The sequence below is a fragment of the Homo sapiens genome, chromosome 16 (genome assembly GCF_000001405.40).
Source record: "Homo sapiens chromosome 16, GRCh38.p14 Primary Assembly".
NCBI classification, from domain to species: Eukaryota; Metazoa; Chordata; class Mammalia; order Primates; family Hominidae; genus Homo; species Homo sapiens.
This window is the reverse complement of record NC_000016.10, coordinates 27119559-27137463: the sequence shown is the minus strand read 5'-3', so window position 1 is coordinate 27137463 and position 17905 is coordinate 27119559. Positions and strand designations below refer to the sequence as shown.

At 42.9% G+C, this 17905-nt stretch overlaps 1 pseudogene; it reads left to right on the top strand.

The window, feature by feature from the left end:
• EEF1A1P38 (eukaryotic translation elongation factor 1 alpha 1 pseudogene 38) lies at positions 2224-4160 on the top strand (annotated as a pseudogene).

Below are 17905 nucleotides of genomic sequence, written 5' to 3'. Positions count from 1 at the left end.
GCTTCCTTTATTACTTTAGGTGGCATGGAAACTCAATTCTCCCACCATTTTTGTCTCTGAGAATCTTTAACTGAGATAGAGCAGGGATCCCCCTTTTTTAGGCGCCTGCAGACCCCAAGTATGGAAATAAAGGAAAATCCTGAGATCCTTCAAGGGAAATTCCAGGCACCTAGCTAGCCCTGAGAACTAAATAAGTAACTTGTTAAATAAGAAGGTAATAGCCTAAAACAATAGCTAAGGAAGTTAAACTCCCAGAGATGTCCATTTTCCTTATAGAAACTAAATGTAACATCTTAACATAGCTTCCCGAATTGTCTTTCAGATGCTCAGATCCCCACAGATGACCCTCCACCAAACAGCTGGAGCCACTGACCGTAGACCACAGATAAGGGGGAAGGGAAGACTAAACTTTAACTGTCGCCCTTTGTTCTAAGTTTCTTCCTGCGGGTGCTTGGAGAAAGTCACTCCCCCTAGCCAGTTAACATTATTCTACTGACCTCAAAATTTTAAACAAATCTTCTTTTCCTTAACCAATTGCAAATCAGAAGATCTTTGAATCTACCTGATATGGTTTGCTTCTGTGTCCAAATCTCATCTTGAATTGTAATCCTCATGTGTTGAGGGAGGGACCTGTTGGGAGGTGATTGGATTATGGGGACAGTTTTCCCCATGCTGTTCTCTTGACAGTGAGTGAGTTCTCATGAGCGCTGGTCGTTTTAAAGTATGTCATTCCCCTTTGCTTGCTCTCTCTCTCTCCTGCCACATTGTGAAGAAGGTACCTGCTTCCCCTTTACCTTCTGCCATGATTGTAAGTTTCCTGAGGCCTCCCCAGCCATGCAGAACTGTGAGTCAATTAAACCTCTTTTGTTTATAAATTACCCAGTCTCAGGTAGTATCTTTATAGCAGTGTGAGAATGGAATAATACACTACCTATGACCTGTAAGGCTTCACTTCAAGACACTTCAAGATATCTCCTCCTTTTAATCTTAAACCAATGTGTAACCTTCATGCATTGATTTACGATTTTGCCTGTAGTTTCTGCTTTCCTGAAGTTTACCCTTGTCTTTAAAAACCCTTACCTGCCCCAGGGGTTGTGGCTCATGCCTTTAATCCCAGAACTTTGGGAGGACAAGGTGGGAAGACTGCTTGAGCCCAGGGGTTCAAGACCAGCCTGGGCAACATATCAGACCTCATCTCTACTAAAAATAAAAAAATTAGCCGGGTGTGGTGGCAGGCACCTTTAGTTCCAGCTACTTGGGAGGCTGAGGCTAGAGGATCACTTGAGCCCAGGAGATTGAGGCTACAGTGAGCTATATGATCATGCCACTGCACTCTAGGCTTGGCAACAGAGGGCAGAGCAAGACCCTGTCTAAAGAAATCCACCATCACTACCAACGAAAAAAGCCCTTACCTTGCAGGTACTTGGCTTGTAGACACTGGGGAGTTTGGGTCTTAAGCATGACCTGACCTGATTCTCCTTGCTGGGCACCCTGCAATAAGTGCCTTTCTTTCTATCACTGCAAACACCTCTGGGTAGGTATCTGGATTTACTGCTCTGGGTGAGTGAACCTCAGTTTGGTTCTAGAACATAACTGGCATCGCAAGCCATTCAGTTGGTCTTCTTGGGAATAATGCTTAAAAGTTGAAGGAAATTGAACACTCAAACAATGGATTTTTAACAAAGCAATTTTACTTCTGTGCAGAGGGGTGCTTCTTTGGCCAGTTGCCACGAGAGCACACCTGAACAAAGGGGCACAAGTCTTTATTTTTGATGCAAGTCCTGTCCCTGTACCCTTTCCCCATTGGCCAGGGTCGAGTCACACAATTTAAACTAATTTCAATTGGCTAAGCACTTGAATTTTTTTAGATAAGGTGGGCACGTAAAAGAAAGTGGAGAGGAAGGGGAAGGGATGTTGTAATGAGCTAGAAAGTTAGTTTTTTTTTTTTTTTTTTAAATAAGGAAAGGAATGTGAGTTGGTATTGATAATGCCTGGTATTGTGGCGTGCCTGGTCATTTAACAAAGGAAAAAGGAGAAAAAGGAAAAGCAGGGGGTGGTGGGTACTATGAATTAAAGAATAAAAGATTTATTAGATTATTTGAAGAGAAACCTCATCATATCTCACAGTCTTTATCTGGCACAAACACATCATTTATGTATAAAGTCCAGCCCGGCCTTTTCCCCCTTGTTCTGGGACAATTAAAACATTATTACTTCTTTTTTTTTTTTGCAATGGTTTTGCCACCAGAACACAGGTGTTATGAAAACTACTCCTAAAGCCAAAATGGGAAAGGAAAATACTCACATCAACATTGTCATCATTGGACATGTAGATTCAGGCAAGTCAACCTCCACTGCCCATCTGATCTACGAATGTGGTGGCATTGACAAAAGAACCATTGTAAAATTTGAGAAAGAGGCTGCTGAGATGGGAAAGGGCTCCTTCAAGTATGCCTGGGACTTAGATAGACTGAAAGCTGAGCATGAATGTGGTATCACCATTGATATCTCCCTGTGGAATTTTGAGACCAGCCAGTGCTACGTGACTATCATTGATGCCCCTGGACACAGAGACTTCATCAAAAACATGATTACAGGGACATCTCAGGCTGACTGTGCTGTCCTGATTGTTGCTGCTGGTGTTGGTGAATTTGAAGCTGGTATTTCCAAGTATGGGCAGACCTGTGAGCATGCCCGCTGGCTTACACACTAGGTGTGAAACAACTAATTGTTGGTGTTCACAAAATGGATTCCACCGAGCCACCCTATGGCCAGAAGAGATACAAGGAAATCGTTAAGGAAGTCAGCACTTACATTAAGAAAATTTGGCAGGACACAGTGGCTCATGCCTGTAATCCCAGTACTTTGGGAGGCTGAAGCGGGTGGATCACCTGAGGTCAGGAGTTCGAGACCCATCTGGCCAACATGGTGAAACCCAGTCTCTACTAATAATACAAAAATTAGCTGGGCGTGGTGGCATACACCTGTAATCCCAGGTACTCAGGAAGCTGAGGCGGGAGAATTGCTTCAACCCAGGAGGTGGAGGTTGCAGTGAGTCAAGATTGCACCATTGCACTCTAGCCTGGGCCACAAGAGTGAAACTCCATCTCAAAAAAAAAAAAAAAAAAAAATTGGCTACAACTCTGACACAGCAGCATTTGTGCCAATTTCTGGTTGGAATGGTGACAACATGCTGGAGTCAAGTGCTAATATGCCTTGGTTCAAGGGATGGAAAGCAACCTGTAAGGATGGCAATGCCAGTGGAACCACACTGCTTGAGGTTCTTGACTGCATCCTACCACCAACTTGTCTAATTGACAAGCCCTTGCGCCTGCCTTTCCAGGATGTCTACAAAATTGGTGGTATTGGTACTGTTCCTGTTGGCCGAATGGACACTGGTGTTCTCAAACCCAGCATGGAGGTCACCTTTGCTCTTGTCAGTGTTACAACTGAAGTAAATTGTGTTGAAAAGCACCATGAAGCTTTGAGTGAAGCTCTTCCTGGGCACAATGTGGGCTTCAATGTCAAGAACATGTCCGTCAAGGAGATTCGTCATAGCAACGATGCTGGTGACAGCAAAAAGAAAACCCACAAATGGAAGCAGCTGGCTTCCCCGCTTAGGTGATTATCCTGAACCACCCAGGCCAAATAAGTGTGGACTATGCCCCTGTACTGGACTGCCACACGGCTCATATTGCCTGCAAGTTTGCTAAGCTGAAGGAAAAGATTGATCTCCATTCTGGTAAAAATCTGGAAGACGGCCCTAAATTCTTGAAATCTGGTGATGCTGCCATCGTTGATATGGTTCCTAGAAAGCTCATGTGTATTGAGAGCTTCTCAGACTATTCACCTCTGGGTCGCTTTGCTATTCGTGATATGAGACAGACAGTTGCTGTGGGTGTCATCAAATCAGTGGACAAGAAGGCTGCTGAAGCTGGCAAGGTCACCAAGTCTGCCCAGAAAGCTCAGAAGGCTAAATGAATATTATCCCTAATACCTGCTACCCTGGTCTTAATTGGTGGAAGAACAGTCTCAGAACTGTTTGTTTCAATTGCCCATTTAAGTTTAATGGTAAAAGACTGGTTAATGATAACAATGCATCATAAAACCTTCAGAAGGAAAGGAGAATGTTTTGTGGACCACTTTGATTTTTTGTTTTGTTTTGTTTTTTCGTGTGGCAGTTTTAAATTATTAGTTTTTAAAATCAGTACTTTTCAATGGAAGCAACTTGACCAAAAATCTGTCACAGAATTTTGAGACCCATTAAAACAAAATTTAATGAGAAAAAACACACATTATTACTAGACCCCAAAATGATCACAAATCAAATCATTGCATGGATTCCATTCTGGTTGTCAGGGAGATGATCCAGAATGTGCTAGTATTTGTGAACACACTAAAATTTTAATAAGTTATTGCTGAGCACTTATAAATCCCTAAGTGTAATCTGCAAACTTTCAGGGAGACTTTAATGATAGTTTTAGACTCTTCAAGACAAGATCTGTCTTCTAGCATGCTCCAGCTTTGCCTTGTCTCTGGCCCTTTCCTGTTCCTTGCAGCAGCCTGAATTAGTTCATTTTCATACTGCTATGAAGAAATACCTGAGACTGGGTAATTTATAAAGAAAAAGTGGTTTAATGAACTCACATTTCCACATGGCTGGGGAAGCCTCACAATCGTGGTGGAAGGGGAAGGAGGAGCAAAGGCACATCTTACATGGCAGCAGGCATGAGGGTGTGTGCAGGAGAACTAGCTGCCCTTTATAAAACCATCAGATCTTGTGAGACTTATTCACTACCATGAGAACAGCATGGGAAAACCAGCCCTCATCATTCAATTTCCTCCCACTGGGTCCCTCCCACTACACATGGGATTATGGAAGCTACAACTCAATATGCGATTTGGGTTGGGACACAGCCAAACCATATCACAGACTTATAATCAAATGAACAATTGTAAAATTGTTCATTTACATGCTTGAGAGTCTGGACTTTATTTTTTTGATGTTTAGTACAGAGATGGATACCAATTAGGAACTGAGTATATTTAACAAATAACTTCAATTTTTCCTTTTATACCAAAGTTGTATATGTTTACACCCCTAATTCTATGGGAAAATTGGGCCAGTTTCACTCTTGGATGGAGCCAGCTGGTAAAGTTGGAGGTGAGGGAGTCTTTTTCAGGGACCCTGGAGTGTGCCCAGAATTTGTTTCCTGGGAAGAGTGGAGTGGTTCAGTGATGTTTCTGGAGAGTAGGAGTGAGGATGAGACTCCACCAGTCCCATTGGGCAGGGAGCTTCCTTCCTGGAAAAATGTCCTCTTTATGCTGAATCCCATCAGAGACTCCTGCTGTACAGTGATTCAGGGAAAGGTACCGCCTCTCTCTTTGTGCCTCCGTTTGACTAAAATGGGGGAAATGATACCACAGAGGCCTCATGGGACTGTGGAGAAGAGTAAATGAGCTGATATATGTAAACATGCCCAGCGTGGTGCCTGCCATCACAGATGTTCAAGAAACACAAGTTTTCTGTCTCCCTTTGCCCATTGTGTTTGAGAACACAAAGCCCTTAGTTAATGGAAGCACTAGTTGGGGAGCGGGAAATCTGAGTTCTAGTCCTGGTTCTACCATGGTGTGACTTTGGGCATATCATCTTCCCTTTCTGAACCTCCATTAAAAAAAATCGATAATGTGGGGATGAATGATAATGCTATCTACCTCACAGAATTTCAGATGGGATTACATTAAATACAGTGGTGTTTGAGTAAGAGACAATCATGGTCTCTGGCAAGTGACAACAACAATAAAAACTGAAAAAATGGCTGGATGTGGTGGCTTATGCCTGTAATACCAGCACTTTGGGAGGCCAAGGCAGATGGATCACTTGAGGTCAGGAGTTCGAGACTAGCCTAGCCTACACAGTGAAACCCCATCTCCAGTAATACAAAAAAAAAATAGCCAAGTGAGGTGGTGTGTACCTGTAGTCCTAGCTACTCAGGAGACTGAGGCAGAAAAGCCGCTTGAACCAAGGAGGTGGAGGTTGCAGTGAGCTGAGATCATACCACTGTACTCCAGCCTGGGTGACAGGGCAAGACCTTGTCTCAAAAAATTAAAAAAAAATTTAAAAGGGGAAAAAGTGCTGTTGACTGGAATTATAAAAGGCCAAATATTACTATATTCCTATATACCAGGAATGGTTCTTAGGAACCTAGATCCAGACTCTCATTTATTCCTTGTGTTGGCAGCAAGAACATCTCCACAAACTTGGGGCCTGAATGAGGCAGAGTGCTTTCATTTTCCCTACGAATTGCTTCCGCAACCACCTGCCTTATTAGTAGAATGTTCATCACTTTTCTTGTGGAGTTCTCTGTGCCCTCTTAAATGATCTGTGAACCATACAGGTGTTCTTAGTTCCAAGGGGAATGTCTGCCCATGGTTAACCTACAAGTGGCTAAGGACAGGGGTCTGATTAGTTCACTGCTGCAGTTGCCTCATGTTGCCAGAGGGGTTGCTGTTGAAGAAAGCTTTGCACAGTCTTGTGAATGCTTTGTTCTGTGATTATGTGAGACCCAGTTTCTGGATATCCATTGAGAGAGAATGATCCGACTCCTTCAGTGCTAAGTGTGGCCAAGAGCTACACACATTTGGCCCCAGAGTTACATCTCTACAATCAATTCTATCAGTTCGCATACACAGTCACTCCTTGGGGTATAAGCAGGAACCAGGAACACTGATTTGGGGTCAGGTCCAAAGTGTGACTACTCAAAAATGCTTACAGCAACTATACTTCCTGCCTCTCCTGTGACTTAATTGTTAGACAATTAGACAGCAATTATTTGACTCATTCAAACCCAAAAACTCTTGTTATATTCATCTTGAAGGAAGTCCTGGGCCACTTGAAGCAGGCTACCCTTGGTGGCTACAAAATGTCATCTGTTCCCAGTTGTGCTATGTTATAGTTTACAGAATCTTTTAATAAAATCGAGGGAAGAATCTGCAAGTTTGACATTCTATAGGACAGTCCTATTATCCTCCCAAGAATGGAGCAGAGGTCACTGTACTGTGCTCACAAGTCTAAAAATGTGGTCTGGAGATACTGTAGGAAGAGTAGAGGTGTTAGAAACAGACAGAAAGTGTTCAAATCTGTGGTGGAAATTAGTCGTGTTTACTCACCCAGTGTCTTATTGCTCCTTCAGCTCTCATGGGAACCTCAATTTTCTTTTCGTGAATTATCTCTTCCTCGCTCTCAGTCTCAGTTTGGGTGGGACTGGTCCTACCTTTGTTCTCAAGGGGTGGGAATCTGAACCAGGCCTGGCCAATGAAAGGACTGAAACTCCCTGGCTACAATTATTGGTTCACGGATCAGCACATGACCCAAGTTGGGCCAATGAAAGGCTGACTTGATATTTTTGCTAGAATGGTGGGAAAAGAAGCACTTCCTTTCTTTGGGGGAACACTAAGCTGATGGGATGTAAGCTTAAAGCTGCTAGGATTCTATGTTAGCCACCAGGTAGAGAATGCCTGATTGAAAATGAAGTCAACTTTGTGGAAAGAAGAGCCAAGTGATAGAGACTGAGAGATTCTACATGATGTTGAGCCCCTGGATCCAACTGTGCCTGAAACTAGAACTACAGATGGTCTGTCATGAACCAGAACATACCCATTTCCTAGTTAAGTCAGTTTGATTGTGTGGGGTTTTGGTCATTTGCCATAACACAGTATGCAATTAATCCCCTGAGGATCAGTATAAGTGGGTGCTCAGCAGAGCAAGATGTTAAACAAAAGACAGACAGACAGACAGGCAAACAGGCAGACAGATGTTCTCTGATGATTAGGCACTTCTTTCCACCTCTTTTCAGAGCAGAGCCACCCCACCCCTCCTCACTGGATGCTTTGCTTGTGTCTGGCACAGCCAGGGCAGGGTGCCAGTACCAGGCAGGCTGCAAATATTACAAAACGTCTGGGGAAAACGGCATTGTTTCCATTTATGTTTTTGCTTCCCCTCTTGTCTCCTGCATTTTTGCTTTTATTTAAGGCTGTGTTCAATGTTGTAATTACTTTTTTAATCGGTAATGTCTGTGTCTGGGGTGTGTGGTTACCCACCATTGCTGGGCCTGACACTGTAAACAAATGCTGGCACTTTGGCTGGGAAGTTCCTGCTGAAATATTGCCCTAAATAAATAAAAGGCAAATTAGATATTGGAAAATAACTTTAAATTACATTTGAATTCTTGGGGAATTACATCTTACATTTGTGTTAGGGACAAATGAGTTTGCCATAAATAATACGTCTAGAACAATTGACCAAGGAGGACAGCGGTGTTGGACAGTTTCTGGGAGGAGGGACGGGAATAGATCTTTCAAAGGGAAGTTGGGGGTGAAACAGAGGGGACTTCTTAAGGGATGGTCATGGGAATGGGGTGCAGAGAAGTGTAAATCTTAAGAAACCTTGGGTATATCTGCTGGATATGCCAAAGAGATTGGTACTCTTGAAAGGAAAGCCATTAGGTTGATTAACTGGGTTGTTCCCAGCAGATGGAAGGAGGAGCTGATGTTATCATGTACCTACTACCTACTGGATGCCTGACAAACATGGAGGTCGTATAGTCACCAGCTTTGGTGACAGGGACCTGGGTACAAATACTGGTGTTGTCACTACCACTGCTGACCAACAGGCAGACAGCTGATGTCAGGGAACTTTAGTTTCCTGACCTTGTTACTGAAGAAGCTCAAGGCAGGGAGGTTCATATGGCTTGCCAGTAGGGATGTTGGCACCAGCGTGACTTGGGTTGAAGTCCCTGTTTTTCTGGTTCCTAGTGTGTACCTTTGGGCAAGTCACTTACCTCTCTGACCCTCAGTTTCTTCATCTGTAAAATGAGGATCATAACAAAAGTAACTTGTCTCTCAGAGTTGCTATGATAATTAAATATAATAATGAATGCTATTTGCCCAGCACAACTTAATGCATGGAATGGTAATTAATACTATTCAGTCTTGTTATTTGCACAACGGTCTTGTGTAATAGTATGTTAAAATTGAAGTTTCACTTAGGCACGAAGATAAGATAGAAGGGAAATTTTGAACTGAGGTGCCAATTCACTGTATACAGATTTTTTTCTTTTCTTTTCTTTTTTTTTTTTTGAGACAGAGTCTTGCTCTGTCACCCAGGCTGCAGTGCAGTGGCGTGATCTCAGCTCCTCTGTCTCCCGGAGTTCAAGTGCAACCTCCGTCTCCCAGGTTCAAGTGATTCTAGTGCCTCAGTCTCCCTAGTAGCTGGGATTACAGGTGCCTGTCCCCACACCTGGCTAATTTTTGTATTTTTAGTGGAGATGAGGCTTCACCATGTTGGCCAGGCTGGTCTCGAACTCCTGACCTCTAGTGATCTGCCAGCCTTGGCCTCTCAAAGTGCTGGGATTACAGACATGAGCCACTGCACCCAGCTATGTAGATTTTCGAATGAAATAGTTGGGCACATATACCACAATTCTCAATCCCCTTTTACCTGTTTCAGAAATAGAAAATAATTGGGAATGAAGAAGAGACAAATAATTTGTAAAGATGATATCTGTACAGAAAGCACTGCTGCAAACCTTATCCTCTCCCTACTTTAGGGAATATATGGTACCTGCTCTCTTTATCTCAAAGCTAGGGATGGGTGTGCAGAGTACAACCTTAAGACTAGAATATGGGATATATTAGTTGGGATAGGACAGGCTTTGTTGTAGTAACAAATAAACCCAGAAATCTCAGTTGCTTAATCCAAAAACAATTTATTTCAAGCTCAAGTTGAAGTCTGGTGCAGTTCAGGTTGTCCTCTTCCTGTTATGATAGTGCTGTCTGGAACTTACTGCCTTTAAGGGAGAAGAGAGAGGATGGAAACATCTGGCTCTCAAGTGCCTCTATCCAGAAGAGACATATGGCCATTCCATTCACTTTACTGGCCAGAACTTGTTTCATGGCCTCCATCCAAATGCAACAGAGACTGAGAAACAGAGGAGCACATAGCTATTTGGTGAGCACTATCAACTCTTAGAGACTCTTCTCCTAGATGAGCTTGAAATGTGTTTCCTGCATGCAGTTGGGAGACATGGAATACCAGTGCTTGAGTCACTTCCCCCCTTGCAAAAGGCAAAGCAGCCAGTGGTACCAGGAAAACTGTTGGGTTCAGTTTGCACTTGCAGAGGTTGTCAAGGCAAGGGATGTATGGCTGTTTCCTATGGACTAGCTAGGGGAGGGGGAGCTGATGTGGGATCGTCGTGGGACCCATCCAATAGGGCCTTCTGGAATGTGGAGGTGAATGCATAGGGACAAGGAAAGAACACCTGTAATAGAGATGCACCCAGATTTCAGATGGAAAGACTCCAGCAGGAAACTCTAAAGTGCTAACAAGTCCTCCATGAGAGGATCAGTATTCAACATCTGCCAGGTCTAGAGGCGACAAAGCCAGCGTGCACAGCATGAGTTCATGTAATTGCAACTCCTACTGCTTTGCCCTCTTTCCTTCCCATGTACCAGCCCCGGAAGGGAGAGGTGCTAGTTTCCCAATGGGGCCAGACAGATTGAAGGAAGAGAGAAGCCAATCACACCCGCCTTCCCAGTGCTAGCTTCCAGTCCGACATAGAGTGGATCTGGGAAACTGCAAGATCGATGGTTAAATTGAGTTCAGAGTTGGATGACTACTTTGGTCTGGACACACTATTTATTGAATTGAGACTCTATTTTAATCTTTCAACAAATATTTACTGCATACCACTCCTCTAGATGCTGCGTTACATTGTCAAACCAACACAGATGTCTGCTCTCGTGGGGCTGACATTTCTAGTGCTGGTGTCATCGGGCAGTCAAGAGCAGAAGAGTCTAGGGGAAGTTTCCAACGAAAGCAGAAGAAGATATGTCTTACTGAATGAAGTTTAAGGGCATGATGAACACAGGAATAAAGCTTCAGTTACATCTTGAGCCATTCTCATTAAAAAAATTTAAATTTTACTTTAAGTTCTGGGATACATGTGCAGAATGTGCAGGTTTGTTACATAGGTATACATGTGCCTTGGTGGTTTGCTGCACCTATCAACCTGTCATCTAGGTTTTAAGCCCATGATGAATTAGGTATTTGTCCTAATGCTCTCCCTCTCCTTGCTCCCAATCCCTGACAGGCCCTGGTGTGTGTTTCCCCACTGTGTCCATGTGTTCTCATTTTTCAACTCCCACTTATGAGTGAGAATATGCAGTATTTGGGTTTCTGTTCTTGTGTTAGTTTGCTGAGGATGATGGTTTCCAGCTTCATCCATGTCCCTGCAAAGGACATGAACCCATTCTTTTTTATGGCTGCATAGTATTCCCTGGTGTATATGTGCCACATTTTCTTTATCTGCTCTATCATTGATTGGCATTTGGGTTGACTCCAAGTTTTTGCTATTGTAAATAGTGCTGCAATAAACATATGTGTGCATGTGTCTTTATAGTAGAATGGTTTATAATCCTTTGGGTAAGTTTTGAAGAGAAGACAAGGGTTGAAGAAAGATGCAGAGAGAGAGAGAGCGTGGCTCAACAGCAAATGCAGGCATTTATGTCCAGCATAAACCTGCAGAGGTGGGGGTTCAGCTTAATATCAGTGTGTACCACTGCTTATAGGCGGGGGCAATTATAGGCCTGTGGGGAAGAGTCTGGAATGTGGGGGCATAGCCTGCTTCATGGGAGAATGTTCATAATGTGTTCCCAGGATGGGTGGTTCTGGCCCTTGTTCCAGCAGAATGTGGTTTTCCTTGAACTTTCCCTCAGCAGAATATGATAAGAGGCAGGCTGTTTCTCATGGCCTGAACCCCCATGGAATGTTTCACTTTGACCAAGGTCTGCGAAATGGTGGGGGGCTTACAAAATGGTGCAGTTTGGACTAACATCTACCACCCTTCTTTTTTGATGAAAGAACAGTTTTATTTATTTTTTTAATAAAGAGATGGGGTCTTGCTATGTTGTCCAGGCTGAACTCAAACTCCTGGGCTCAAGAGATCCTCTTGCCTCAGCCTCCCTAGTAGCTGAGACTACAGGAATGTGCCACTGTGCCAGGCTAAGAGACTTTCTTTTTTACTTAAATACACTGAGTAAATGGAAAGCCTGCATTCACTTACCATGAACAGAAGGTAAGCATGAAAATAAATGAATAATATCATAAAACAAATGATTCACATATGACTTCATATCATCTTGTGTCCTGTTAGTGGTAACACATTGGGAAACAGTGGTTGAGAACATCAGAGCAGGAAGGGCAAATAGTCAAAATCACAGGCTTATCTGAGTCAGGCAACACTGGGTATGGATCCAGGGTCCTTCCTTTCCTGCCTATGTGACCTTGGGCAAGTCACTTTACATCTCCAAGCTGTTCTCTCATATATAAAACAGTGATAATAGAATTGACTTCCCAGGTCTTTGTGATATGTAAAAGATATGATATATATGCAGCCCTTATACAATGTAATATAATCTTATTAATAGCTCACATTCGTCGACCTTTTCCACCTGCCAGTCAGTGTTCTAAGCACCTCACAAATGTTAAATTATTTGATCCTCAGAACAACCCAAGGAAGTGGGTCCTATTTCTGTCCCTAATTTGTGGAGGAGGAAGCTGAGGCAGAGAAGCAGTTACGGGCAGAGTTGGGATTCTAAGCAGGCAGCCTCCACGTTCCTAAACATTCTGCCATCCCACCCCTTTCTGCTTCTGTAAATGGGAGTTGTTGGGTCCACTCTGACCCTCTCATTTTTCTAATTTGGAAATGGAGGGCTTGAGAGGGGTGACACCCTGCCCAAAGTCCCATAGTCCATGAGTGTCCTGGCACCCAGGAGGATCCGCTTCTGGCACCCACTGCCTCTCCTTTGGGGTCAGATTAACCTCAGGAAGCTGGAGAGGAAGCCTGGGAAGGGTTTCCTGGCCAGTTGATGGAGTTACCTCTAAAAAGCTGCTATTGACCTTGTATGTACCGAGAAGCACATAGACACAAAGACCTTGTAGAGTGTGGAGAGGAATCTTCCGGAGGCTGGGCTCAGGGGGTGCTTGGCTGGGGAGACCCCTTGCTAGACCATACAGCACTTGCAGGGTCCAGTCTGTGGTTGCAAGTGACAGAGAGCAACACAGGCAGAAAACACAGGCTTTATGGCAAGGTTGTGGGGTGGATCAGCGTGTTGGAGGAACCACTGAACCACCACAGCTGGATGGGGGGCTGGGAGGCAGGGCCTGGTAGCACTCTGCTCACAGCTTCACCATCACGATGAAATAGCTGCAATCACTTTCCAGCACTGGGTCACTTCATTTAAGATTCAAATTCTTGGGAGAGAGAATCTTATTGGATCATTTTAGGTCACATGTTTGTCTTTGAACCAATCCCTGTGTTCAAGGGGATGGAGACCTCTGATTGGCTGGTCCTGGGTCATGTTTACTCCTGGACCAGGGCTGGGGTCAGCCCTAGCAGAGACTCATGGACCCAGACGTGGGAGGAACATGGTCTCACAGCTTTGTTAGAGCAGGAGTGAGTCAGCTTGGCAGGAGGGCCACGAGCCCCAAACAGGGCCTTAGTGTGAGTTATTAAAAACAGCCTGGGGGCAGGATCAGCCGTGTGGGCACGGGCTTGGTAAGCAGAGCCTGGGTAAATTCAGCCCCCATTCGCTCTTCTATAGGATGCCCTGGTGTGGGAACGTGCACGCCCATGAACAATGATCCTGTCCCTGTTCAGACAGACTCCCTTGCCCTGATGCTGCCTCCACTTGGTGGGCTCCTGATCCACCTTTGTTAACCTAATGATTCTCAGCTTCGCTCTGCTGACCTCTCTGTCGTCACCTATCTCCATTTCCTGCTCCCCATTTTGTAAGTCTAAGGAATGTAAGCCATTTTCTTACAATTCATTTGCTTTTCGTATATTCACACAATTGTGCGTCAATCATCTCCATCAATTTAAAAACATTTTCATTACTCCAATAACATATTCATCCCTCAGCCATCACCCCAAACTCTCCCACTCTCCCACATCCCATGGCCACAGCCCTAGACAACCGCTAATCTACGTTTTGCGTCTGTAGATTTGCCTATTCCGGACATTTCAAATAAATTGAATCCTATATGGTTTTTTGAGACTTGCTTCTTTTTTTAAATTAGAATAATGTTTTCAAGGTTCATTCATGTCGTAGCATGTATCAGTGCTCCATTTCTTTCTTTCTTTCTTTTTTTTTGAAACAGAGTCTCGCTCTGTCGCCCAGGCTGGAGTGCAGTCTCGGCTCACTGCAACTTCCGCCTCCCAGGTTCAAGTAATTCTCCTGTTTCAGCCTCCTGAGTAGCTGGGACTACAGGTGCCCACCATGACGCCCAGTTAATTTTTGTATTTTTAGTAGAGATGGGGTTTCATCCTATTGGTCAGGTTGGTCTCAAACTCCTAACCACAGGTGATCCACCCGCCTCGGCCTCCCAAAGTTCTGGGATTACAGGCGTGAGCCACGGTGACTGGCCGCTTCATTTCTTTTTATTGCTGAATAATATTCCATGGTATGGATAGACCACAATTTATTTATCTGTTCATCAGTTGATGGATGTTGGGTTGTTTCCACTTTTTGGCTATTATGAATAATGCCACCATAAATATTTTTGACAAGATGTTGTGTGGACATATGTTTTCATCCTTTGGGGCATATCCTTAGGAGGAGAATTGCTGATTCACATGATAACGCTATGTGATGGTTAATATTAGGTGTCAACTTGATTGAATTGAAGGATGCCTAGATGGCTGGTAAAGTATTGTTTCTGGGTGTTCCTATGAGGGTGTTGCCAGAGAAGATTGACATTTCAGTTAGTGAACTGGGAGAGGAAGACCCACCCTCAATGTGGGTGGGCACTATCCAATCGGCTGCCAGCACAGCCAGAACAAAGCGGGCAGAAGAAGGTGGGATAGACTTGTTTGCCTAGTCTTCTGGTTTCTTTCTTCTTCCCATGGGGAATGCTTGCTTCTGCTCCTCCTGCTCTTGGACATCAGACTCCAGGTTCTCCAGCCCTTCGGACTGCGACTTGCACCAGCAGCTTGCTGGGGGCTCTTGGGCCTCTGGCTGCAGACTGAAGGCTGCACTATCAGCTTCCCTGGTTTTGAGGCTTTTGGACTCAGATTGAGCCACTACTGGCTTTTCTCTTCCCCAGCTTGCAGACGGCCTATTGTGGGACTTTGCCTTGTAATTATGTGAGCTAATTCTCCCTAATGAACTCCCTTTCATATATACATATATCCTGTTTGTTCTCTGCCTCTGAGAACCTTGACAAATACACTCTATGTTCAACTTTTTGAGAAACTGCCAGACTGTTTTCCAAAGTGGTTGCACCATTTTCCATTCTCATCAGCAGTGTATGAGGGTTCCTATTTTCCCACATCCTTACCTTGTTATTATCTGTATTTTGATTGTAGCCATCTAGTGAGTGTAAAGTAGTATTTCATTGTGGTTTTGATTTGCATGTACTTGATGGATAATGATGTTAAACATCTTTTCCTGTGCTTATTGGCAATTTGTAGATTTTGTTTGGAGGCATGTGTATCAGATTTCGGCATGTCCATTTTCAAACTGCATTATTTGTGTTTTTAAATTTTAATTTGATTTTATTATTTATTTTTTTGACACAGAGTCTCACTCTGTCACCCAGGCTGGAGTGCAGTGGTGTGATCTCAGCTCACTGCAGCCTCCGCCTCCTGGGTTCAGATGATTCTCCTGCTTCAGCCTCCTGAGTAGCTGGGATTATGGGCATGTGACACCACCCCCAGCTAATTTTTTGTATTTGTAGTCGAGATGGGGTTTCACTTTGTTGTCCCAGCTGGTGTCAAACTCCTGACCTTGGGTGATCTGCCCCCCTCAGTCTCCCAAAGTGCTGGGATTACAGGTGTGAGCAACCAAGCCTGGCCTTATTTGTGCTTTTATTATGGATTTGTAGTAGTTTTATATGTTTGAGACTTAAATCCCTTACAAATATGATTTGCAAAATTTTTCTCCTATTCTTTGGATTATCTTTTCACTTTCTTAATGGTGTCCTCTGAAGTAAGTTTTAGATTGTGATGAAGTCTAATTTATCTAGTGTTATTTTTCTTGCTTATGATTTTGGTATCAGATCTAAGGTCCAAATTCAATTCTTTCTCTGATTTTTAAGAGTCTGATAGTTTTAGCTGTTAAAATTTAAACCTTTGATTCATTCTGAGTAATTTTTGTATATGGTGTGAGGTAGGGATTCAACATTATTCATTCTTTTACATGTAGATATCCAGTTGTCCCAGCACCTTTTATTGAAAAAACTATCCCTTTCCCATTGAATAGGCCCTTGCCCCAAATTAATCAACCATAGTTATACGGATTTATTTCTGGAATCTAATTTTTTCCACTGATACATATGCCAATACTGCACTGTCTTGATTACTGTAGTTTTGTAGTAAGTTTTGAAACTGAGAAGTGTGAATTCTTGAACTTTTACTTTTTTTAAGATTCAAGATGGAATTCTTGGATTTCTATAAGAATTTTGGGATAAGCTTGTCAATTCCTGAAAGGAGACAAGCTAGGATAAGAATGCTACAAGAAAAGAAAATCACAGGTCAATATCCCTGATGAGTAAAGGTAAGAAAACTGGATAGGCACATGCAAAAGAATAAAATTGGACACTTGGTTTACACCATATACAAAAGTTAATTCAAAATGTATTTAAATCTTAAATGTAAGATCTGAAACCATAAAACTCATGGAAGAAAACATAGGGGAAAAGCTCCTTGTCATTGATCTTGGCAATGAATTTTTTGATATAACATCAAAAGCACAGACAACAAAAGGAAAAACAAACAAGTGGGACTACATCAAGCTAAAAAGCTTCTGCACACCAAAGAAAACAATAAGTGAAATGCAAAGGCAAACTATGGAATGGGATAAAATATTTGTGAACTGTACATCTCATAAGGGGCTAATAACAAAAATATAGAAAGAACTCACATAACTTAATAGCAAAACCAATCAACCAAATAACCCCCCAAAACAAAACAACACAAAAAACTCCCAAACCCAAATAATGCTATTTAAAAATTGGCAGAGCATCAGGAAGAATAGCTAATGGATGCTGGGCTTAATACCAAAGTGATGGGTTGATCTGTGCAGCAAACCACCATGGTACACCTATGTAACAAACCTGCACATTCTGCACATGTACCCCAGAACTCAAAATAAAAGTAAAAGGAAAAAAAGTAAAGTAAGAGTATAGATTGGAAAAAAAAAATTGGCAAAGGATCTGAATAAACATTTTTCTAAGGAAGACATACAAATGGCCAACAGGTATATGAAAAAGTGCTCAATATCACTAATCATCAGATAAATGCAAACAAAACTACAGTGAGATATCTCGCACCTGTTAGGATGACTATTATCAAAAAGATAAGAGTTGGCAAGTGCTGGTGAGGGTGTAGAGAAAAAGAAATGCTTATACACTGTTGGTGGAAATGGAAATTAGTATAGCCATTAGGGCAAACAGTATGGGGGTTCCTCAAAAAGCCACAAATACAAGTACCACATGATCCAGCCATCTAACTTCTGGGTATATAGCTAAAGGCTGTGAAATTGCTATGTCGAAGAGGTATCTGCACCTCATGTTCATTGCAGCTGTATTCACGGTAGCCAAGATATGGAAACAACCTAAATATCCATGGATGGATGAATGGAGAATATTATTCAGCCATAAAAAGGAATGAAATCCTGTCTTTTGCAACAACATGGATGAACTTAGAGGAAATTATGGGAAGTGAAATAATCTAGACCCAGAAAGACAAATAATGTATGGTCTTATTTATATGTAGAATATTAAAAAGTTGAATTCATAGAAGTAGAGAGTAGAACAGTAGTTACTGGGTACATGGGGAAATGGTGG